The sequence below is a fragment of the Homo sapiens genome, chromosome 17, assembly GCF_000001405.40.
Source record: "Homo sapiens chromosome 17, GRCh38.p14 Primary Assembly".
NCBI lineage: Eukaryota > Metazoa > Chordata > Mammalia > Primates > Hominidae > Homo > Homo sapiens.
This window is the reverse complement of record NC_000017.11, coordinates 9,216,679-9,225,668: the sequence shown is the minus strand read 5'-3', so window position 1 is coordinate 9,225,668 and position 8,990 is coordinate 9,216,679. Positions and strand designations below refer to the sequence as shown.

Below are 8,990 nucleotides of genomic sequence, written 5' to 3'. Positions count from 1 at the left end.
CCTGCCCTCCCCCTACTGGTCACCTTCTCCCTGGGCTGGCCCAAGTCTGTGTGGGAGGGACACCCCCTTACACACCTTCTCAGGGGGGCCAGGGGCCCAACACAGGACACATGGGAGATTCTCCACAGACGCCAGCAGAGCCCACTGGAGGCCTTGCCTCAGCCTCAGAGAAACCCGTGGGCCTGGCATTGTCCTCAGGGCCCCCCGCCAGCCCCTGTGGGGGCACTCACTCCTCTATGACCAAACACACTCCCCGAGGCCCTGCCACCCCACCCCGCAGGGCTCCTCTGAGCCCTCCGCAGAGGCCCGTGAAATCCCTTTCCAGACATTGTTCTTGGCCTGCCTCCTGCCTGAACACACAGGCTGAGCTGAGGGTGGGGAGGACTCCCCAACTTTTTATTTATTTTTTTTTTTGAGACAGAGTCTCACTCTGTTGCTCAGGCTGGAGTGCAACGGCACGATCTCAGCTCACTGCAACCTCCACCTTCCAGGTTCAAACAATTCTCCTGCCTCAGCCTCCCTGGGATTACAGGTGCACACCACCACACCCAGCTAATTTTTTGTATTTTTAATAGAGACGGGGTTTCACTATGTTGGCCAGACTGGTTTCAAACTCCTGACCTCGTGATCCGCCCACCTCTGCCTCCCGAAGTGCCCCCAACTTTTAAGTGACCACAAGAGTCCCAGGAACAGTCCTGGAACCAGAAACACCACACCACCCCCAGGACTGAGGAATCACAGGGAGAGTGTCAGTCCTGGCTGTGGAGTCACAGGCTTGGAGTGTGGTGAGGAGGACATGAAAGCTAGTGGTGCCAGAGCCCCAGCCCCCATCAGCTCCCAGGGGGGATCCCACTGTGCCCCCCCACCCCATCCCCACCTGCTGTTCCTCCAGCCTTGTCTTGCAGCAGAAATGTGGACAGCTGGGTGACGCGCCTGGGCCATGGGTGTGGGGGCAGGAGCCGGGTAACCACCATTAGGTCTAGAAAGGTGAGCACACAGGGCTGGCCCGCAGCTCTCTGGAGGAATTGTGATGGGAAGGAAAAACTCAAGGAAGGCTGCTGTGGAAGGGGCGGGAGGCTGGGCCACTCCCTGGCTGGGTAACTGGGCAAGTCATCTCACCCAGCCAGGCCCGTGTCACTGCCTATGACCCAAGCAACCTGAAGCCCGCTGTCCCTGCTACCTGCTTTGCTGATAACCCATGAGGGAGTCGGGTGTCGGGCAAAGGGAAGGCTGAGTCAGGGAACAGAGGGTCCGATGGCACCCTGAGGCTCTGCCCCACCCTTCCCCGCCCCAAGAGAGATGCCCCCCATTGCCCAGGGCGGCCACAACAGGGCAGGGCGCAGGGAAGGCCTAAGGGGCTCCTTCGAGTCTACGAAAGGAGGGTGTCAGGTTCGGCAGACAGAGAGGGGCTGCCTGAAGAGAAGAGGTGAGGGGCCAGGAGAGCTCTGAGGGGCCAAGGTGCCCCCTGGAATATTGTTGGGGAGGCAGAATTCACTGGAAGGAACAAAGTCAGAGGACAAGAAAACCAGGTTGAGTCAAATAGAATCCAGTGGAACACAGGATCAGTTTTGGGCCCTTTTACAAGCCCCATTTTCATGATTTCATGATTAAAGAACAGAGCAGAGGCTGTGGGTCAGTGCCTTCCTCCTTGCTCCCAGCTGCCTCTCCACAGTGTAGCTGCTTAAAGAGTTCTTCGAGACTAAAACCAAACCAAATAGGCGATCAAAACAATCCATTCCCCAAGCAAGCCCACCTATTCCTCTCCCTTCCCCTCCTACCTCCTTGCCGAGGTTACCCCTAGGCCTTGTGCAGGGAAGGATGGGGAGAGGAGAAGCACAGGGCTTTCCCTCTGCGACCCATTAACTCCTCTGGGCCCACCGCTTTGCTAGGAGGACAGTGCTGCGGTGCCCAGGTCCAAAGCCTAGGAAAGCTACAAGAGCCTTGGGCGTCCTGCTCAAGTCGTCATCTCACAAGAGGGCTGCCTAGGGGAGTGGAGAGAGGCCTGCCCCATGGCCCACCTAACAGTCCCCAGGGGACACTGAAGACCCAGGGCTGGGAGGATGCAGTCCCTGCAGCTCCGGGGCCATATGAGCTCCTTTCTTTCTTTTTTTTGAGACAGAGTCTCACTCTGTCGCCCAGGCCAGTCTGGAGTGCAGTCATGTGATCTCAGCTCACTGCAACCTCTGCTTCCCAGATTCAAGGGATTCTCCTGCCTCAGCCTCCCGAGTAGCTGAGATTACAGGTGTGCGCCACGACGCCCAGCTAATTTTTGTATTTTTAGTAGAGACCAGGTTTCATCATGTTGGCCAGGCTGGTCTCAAATATTCACCCTCAGGTGATCTGCCCACCTTGGCCTCCCAAAGTGCTGGGATTACAGGCGTGAGCCACCACACCCAGCCCTGAGCTCCTTTCAAAACAACCCAGGGCCCCTACTTTCCTGGCTTGGAGACGCACTTCCTTTATCTTAAAGTAATTGCAAGTTTCATTTCTAAATCTAGGTTTATTTTCCCGTGGGAGGTGGAAGTTTCTGCACTGCCCTGGGATGTATACAGCTTAACGCAGCTTTTAGGAATTGACTGTAGACCCCTGAAGGGCCTTGAACTTTGATGCCCATAGCCTGGCAGCTTCTGAATTGATGCATAATACCTGCCAGCTGCTCTTCTTCACCCTGTAGAAGGCCAGAAGGCCTGTGGGGAATGGGGCTGAATTACTGGGGTCTTACCCTGGCTTCAGTGTGTGCGTAGGGAGTGTGCGTATGAACTCTCTCACATACACACACACACACAATAAACGAGAACATTTTAGAAGTTCTCCAGATTCCTTTAGATACCTTTGGGCCTCGTCATTCATTTCACTGTGCTAAAAGGTCCTGACCACTGTCCTTATTAAAGAAGAAAGCCTTGTTCAAGCAGCTGGCCCAGTTAGGATCTCCATGAGGTCTGGGTCCCAGGGTAGGGCTGCCGGACCCCCACGGGGTCAGGGAAGGGACGGAGCTCAGATTCTGGATAGTGAGGCCTCCTCCACAGGTGGCCTTCGCTTCTCACCCCTCTTCTTCCACCGCCGTTTCCTCCCTCCTCCTCTTTCCTCACCAGCTTCCTTTGGACGCAGAGGTCACTGTTTGCTGGGAGCCTGTTAGGCACCCGTGCTCTGTCCTCCCCGTATACACTCAGCAAGTGGCATCATCTCCATCTTACATATAAGGAAACTGAGGCTCAGGTAAGCAATGGGACTCATCCCAGATCCCCTGAGAAGCATATGATTAGGACAGCCTTGGGAAGCTGAGCAGAACAGAGAGGTCGTTCTGCCTTCCCAGAGGTGGCCAGGAGGTGCTGGGGCTGGCAGGGCCACTGAGGGGATAGGGGCTGCACCTCCTGGGGTCAGTTAAAGATGGGACAGGAAAGATGGGCTATGTCCAGCTGGAGTGAGGAGGAGGACGGAGGGAGGTGGGCAGATGTGGACTTTCGTGGGCCCAGAATTGGGGGGCCAGCCCCAGGCTCAATCCCTGGCCCACCAGGTCAAGGAGAGGCCCCGTGCTAGAAAGAACCAGGCCTGGATTCAGGAGTCCTGGGCCTGGGGCTCCTTCCCGGCCTATGGTGGGGGCCTCAGCCACCCACATGGATGCCCTGGCTGTATGCGGGGGCCTTGCCAGTGGTCAGCTGGACAATGCTTTCAGGGTTTCTATTTGCGTCCCCCATTCTGAAGAGCCCCTGCCACCAGCCCCAGCTCTTCACACACACCTGCCCGCTGGCCACTGCGGGGCCCTCCTCCTGCAGGCTCCCAGACCATCTCCACTCTCCACGACCACCATGAGAGCAAGGGGACAGGACACACCCTTCCCGGGAAGGGAGCCTGAGGTCACAGGTGACAAGCAATCTCTGCAGGTGGCCCCCAGGACTGTCTGCTCCATGGGTCTGGGCAGCGGAACTTCCGGTGCATGGGAATGAGTGGTGAGCCGTTTACAGCGCAGACTCCCGGCCCCGCTACAGCCTGGCGGAACACTGGAAATGCACCGGGGAGCTCCCAGCCCTTGTCTGATGCCCAGAGAGCTTCCCTTTGAGCCACGTGGACTCGGGTCAAATCCCCGCAGTATGATGCAGACACAGAAGACCACAGAGGTAAAGCCACTGGTCTGTGGCCACACAGCCCATCAGCGGCAGAGTCAAAGCCAGAGGCCAGCCTGGGTGTCCCAGCCTCAGGAGGGTGAAGGGGAGAAACCAGGCCACTGGGCTCCTCATGCCCCCGTCTCTGAGGGCCAAGGAGGAAAAGATGAGAAATTCCCAGGCGTGGGATCCGTCCGGCTAGTTCCCATCGGTCACAGGGTCTTCACGACCAACACCCATCGGGGGCCAGCTGCACCCCAGCCCCAGCACCTCGCTGGTCACGTGGCCCCCTCCCATCCTCCCCAGACAAGGGGACTCTCACTCACCATAGTCCTTCTTGCAGTACTTTTTCATGTTAATCTTCAGCTTCCCCTTGGAGGCCTTGCAGTAGGAATCGCAGTCTGCAGGGGGGTGGGGGGGGAGCACAGACAAAAACTAATTAGGCTGGCGATGAATAGGCTGGCGGGCAGAGTAGGAGGCCGCCTCCCTAAATAGCCAGAGGCCTGTGATACCCATGGGCCAGGCCGGGCGGGCAGGCGGCCATTCAGGAAAGGCCTGCGCTTCTAAAGAGGCCTGAGGGACAAAGGGCCCCCGTCCGACCCACCCACCCCCTCCCTGGCCTGACGAATCCCTCAGCCACCGCCTGCAACCACCCTGGCCTCCGTGAGAGTCTCGGGGGGCTCCTGCCACCCAGGGCTTCTGAGCACCACACAGATTCTCCCTATTCTTAAGACTCAACTGGAGCCTGATTAAAGCCGATAGAGGCCTCATTGTCACCCCGCGCCCTGGGTCTGTGTCAGGCGCTGGCTTTCATGGTGCGGAGCCTCTGGCTGGGGTCAGGCCTCAACAAAAGAGGTCACAGGGGAAATTAGCAGCCCATGAAGCATTAAAAAACCCCTTTGGTGTTCACTCTACTGCAGTGTGCAAATAAAATGCCCCACGAAGACGAGTTCAGTTCTAATGGGCCCTACTGGTGAGAGGCAGGGCTGCTAGGCCTGCGTCCACTGGGTATCACTGGGGGATTCCAGGGCCCAACCGAGAGCCAAGCAGGATGTGGAGGGCACCAGGGCCTGCCAGCCCTTGGGCCTGTGTCAACCCCCAAATGCAGCTTCCCACTTCAGCCCAACCATGGCTTTTCCCTGCCAGCCATCGCTGTTCTTTGAACAAGGAGACACAATTCCTTCGCCAAGTCTGTGTGTGACAGCTTCACGTGACGGCACAGCCCACCAGAGCCTCAGCAAATCTCCCCCAGTCTGCCCTGCCCCCAGCACTCAGCAGGCAGGATCTCATTCAATTCTCCCAACCCTTCTTTGATGGGTAGGTATCATTCCCATTCCACAGACAAGAAGACTGAGGCTCAAAGAGGGTAAGCCACCTGCCCAGTGCACTCTGGGTAGCTACTGCCAAGGCTGGCCTGAGATGCCAAGATCCCTGCACTCTTGGTTAGGCGATACTCTGACAGATTCCCCCTCAGTGTGAGCAGAGGTGAGCTCAGAGCCAGGGATGAGGAATGCCCTGTATTTTAGCAATTCCCAGACTGCCTGGGGGAAGACCAGCCAGGCTGGCCAGCGGGGAGGAGCGGGGAGCTGCAGGGAGCTGCAGGGGGCCCAGCCTGTTCTAGAAGCAGTGGTGGCATGGGTTGATGGAAGTTGGCTGGGTGTGTGTCCTGGTGAGGGATTAGGAAAAGAGGACCAGGAGGGGAAAGATTCAACACACACGTGCACACACACGTGCACACACACGGGCGGCTGCTCCAGGGGCAGGTGGCAGCGTCCTATCCCGCAGAGGGGAAAACAAAGGTCAAGGTAGGGGAGGAGTGATTTGTGTGGGAGCACAAGGGGAAGCCGAAGCAGGAAAGCAGAGGCCTCCCAGTGCCACCTGCACCCCAACCCAGGACTTAGATCTGCAGGGAGTGTTCAGGGAGACCTCTCCAGGGCTGGCCTCTGGCCTGTGAAGGCCACTGCCTCCATCGAGGTCCTGAGATACATTGACTGGTGCCTCAATGAAGATCAATGCAGCTCTATCCCACTACCTTGGGGGCCATGGGTGTGGTAGCCTCCCACCGCTTCCTGTGCCAGACTCTTGGGGCCCCCAGTTAGGAACCAGTCTCAGGAAATGGGAGAAAAACAGCCCTGCTTCCTGCTCCCTATGATCTGAGCCCTCGGAGCCCCTTCATGACACCCCTGCTCCATGGCACTGGTGGCCACAGTCCCCATCCCTCCTGCCATCTGGATAGCAGCTTGGTTACTAGAGTAGGGATTTCTTGGGGTGCAGGGACTGGGCTGTCCAGAGAGAGTGGCCCTCACTCTACTGTGGCCAAGCCTGAGAGGTTGGGATGAAAGTGACGGCAGCCCAAACACTCAAGTCAACGGCGCCATCAGCACCATCAGCACCGCGGCCGCACTTCCCTGTGAGGAACAGCCGCTCTGGGCCACATCTTTGCCAGCTCAGGGATAGATGACGCTCACAATAAAGCCACTGCTGGGGCTGAACCCAGGTTGTGCGTAAGTCCTGGCGATTCTGCGTGAGCTGGCTGAAATCCCTTCCTGCTTTCTCCACTTAGGGAAGCGAATTGGAATGCAAGTTGTGCCGAGTGACGTTCTTGCAGGGGTGGCCTTCAATCCACTCTCCTCGCAATTTTTTTTTTTTTTTTCACAAAAGCCATCATCCCACACCAGCACTTTCATTTCCAATCAGGAGGAAATCCCTTTCACCGGCCTCCTCACCATGGGCCAAGGCGCACCTCTCCATCTCAGCCTTGTAGATAGCATAGGCTGTGGCAGAGGGGGTGCCTTTGAGCATGTCAGCTCTTCCGAGCCTCATCTGATGCTTTGAGGGAGGGACTGCGGTGCCTAGCTTAGAACTGAGAGCTCAGAAAGGTTCCAGAGCAGCCCGCCCAAGGTAAGCCCCACCCCGGGGGTGGGGGGCGGGGCAGGAGGAAGGCAGATGAGTCCTGGGACAGCCTGCCCCTGTCCCTTCAGCGTCACTGTCCCAGCCTAGAAACCTCTACAGCTCTTCTCTCCAGAGCCAAGTGTCTACCTGGGACAGAGACTGCCCTAGAATGTGTGGCATCCATCACTGCCTAATTACATTGCACTCACAGGCCCTGCTTGACAAATCACAGTCATCACCATGAATATCCAGTCTGTACCTCACTAATGGCAGCTACTCTCACGAAACTAATGAGGCGCTGGGCACTGTTCTCACGGTTGATGAACTCGTCTTGGCCCTTCAATCAGGCCCCATTTTACAGATGAGAATCTAAGGCACAGAGACATTGGTGACTCACCAGCTCAAGGTCGTGTGCCCAATGAGGCAGTCTGGCAGCCCAGTCCCTGCTCTTAACCTCCTGCTCCCAGTCCTGGCTATGCAGTGGCATCACGATGCCTGGGTCCCACTCCCAGGACTTTCTGATTTCTTTGTCTTAGGGAATGGCCGGAGTGTCTGAAGTTTTAATGTTCCCCAGATGGTTCTAAAGCACAGCCAGGGTTAGAACCACAGTCTGAACCAACTGTGAGAGATGGGGACAGTCTCCACACCCATGATTTGCACAGAGCACCCAGTGTGGCAGAGGAAAGATCCAGAGAAGGTGGCTGCTGAGTCAAACTGGAGAGTGCTCACAGGGAGAACCTCAGGCTGCTTGCCCTTACAGAAAATGACATCACCCTCTGAGCATTTGGAGTTGCGTTTGCTTTTTTTTTTTTTTTTTTTTTTGGTGTCTTTCCTTTCTGTCAGCTGGAAATTCTTGTCAGATCAGTGTGCTTGTTGCAAAATGTCCCCTATGCCCTTCAGATTTGCTAGGAAAACAAAGACCAAGCTTGCTAGAATTGTATGTAAAATACAGGTAACTAGGCTTGGAAGGAGAGGCTGAAATGTTCTCCCTTAGGTAAAGTGAATAACCTTCAGAACATGGACACTGTGACAGCTATTTGGCTGCTTGTGGACTCTTTGTTTAGGTTGTATTCCAGATAGCTGAGGTCACTGGACAATGGCCCCCGAATAAGGAAAATGTTACCGTATGTTCTCTCTCTATGGTACACACAAAGCTACAGAGAGTGCTTCAAGATGGACAAACCACACCTTTAAAATGCAGCTTTGACTCCTTCTTCAAACTGGCATCTATTTGGCAGCCTCTCATGTAGCTCCTCCTTGTTTTGTTCCAAAACAGCCATAAAGACAATGAGGAAACCTGAACATTCACACTAGTGCCAAAAACGAAACTGATGATGACCCAACGCTGGGATCTGGGAGCAATCTCTAGTAATTAAAGGCAGATGGTGGTGGACTAAGCAAAACCTGTTCAGGTTTTACCTCAGGACACAGCTCTTTGTCTGATGAGCAGAAAAGTCCTGAAAAAAGGGAGGAGGACACAGTGACAAAGACCAGAGAACAAATAAGCAGGAAGTGAGTGGGGGCAGTGGGGACGATCCCTCCTCCAGGGAGGGGAAGTTTCAGGACCACTAGGGACCAGAAGGACAGCAGTACAGCAAAGATGTCACCTTATATTTCTTTTTTTTTTTTTTGAGACGGAGTCATGCCCTGTCTGTCATCCAGACTGGAGTGCAATGGCATGATCTCGGCTCACTGCAACCTTCGCTTCCTGGGTTCAAGCGATTCTCCTGCCCCAGCCTCCCGAGTAGCTAGGACTATAGGCACACACCAGCTCGTCCACCTAATTTTTTGTATCTTTAGTGGAGACAGGGTTTCACCAAGTTGGCCAGGCTGGTCTCGAACTCCTGACCTCATGATCCACCCGCCTTGGCCTCCCAAAGTGCTGGGATTACAGGCGTGAGCCACCGCACCCAGTCTCACCTTGTATTTCTATCTAAATCATTGCAGAGAATCAGAAAATCAGGCAATGCAGAGAAAGGAAGAGCACTACCTCCACAG

At 55.8% G+C, this 8,990-nt stretch overlaps 1 protein-coding gene across 3 annotated transcripts in view, besides 2 other annotated features; it reads right to left on the bottom strand.

Annotated features, from left to right (window-relative positions):
* The window catches only part of NTN1 (netrin 1), a 240,914-nt gene that overhangs the window by 18,332 nt on the left and 213,592 nt on the right, over positions 1 to 8,990 (bottom strand). For all 3 annotated transcript variants that reach the window (XM_047437096.1, NM_004822.3, XM_006721595.4), the window contains exon 6: positions 4,427 to 4,501. In XM_047437096.1, the coding sequence (XP_047293052.1) occupies positions 4,427 to 4,501 (75 nt within the window). The remainder of the gene's footprint in view (positions 1 to 4,426; positions 4,502 to 8,990) is intronic.
* Positions 22 to 573: an enhancer, noted in NCBI's record as "NANOG-H3K27ac-H3K4me1 hESC enhancer chr17:9128413-9128964 (GRCh37/hg19 assembly coordinates)". NCBI's record gives its function as "activates a minimal SCP1, AML or CMV promoter by ChIP-STARR-seq in naive H9 embryonic stem cells {active_cell/tissue: H9 hESC(naive)}" and the evidence as "EXISTENCE:reporter gene assay evidence [ECO:0000049][PMID:30033119]".
* Positions 3,266 to 4,465: an enhancer, noted in NCBI's record as "BRD4-independent group 4 enhancer chr17:9124521-9125720 (GRCh37/hg19 assembly coordinates)". NCBI's record gives its function as "activates an origin of replication core promoter dependent on BRD2, P300/CBP, MED14 and CDK7 cofactors, and independent of BRD4, by STARR-seq in HCT116 cells {active_cell/tissue: HCT116}" and the evidence as "EXISTENCE:reporter gene assay evidence [ECO:0000049][PMID:35650434]".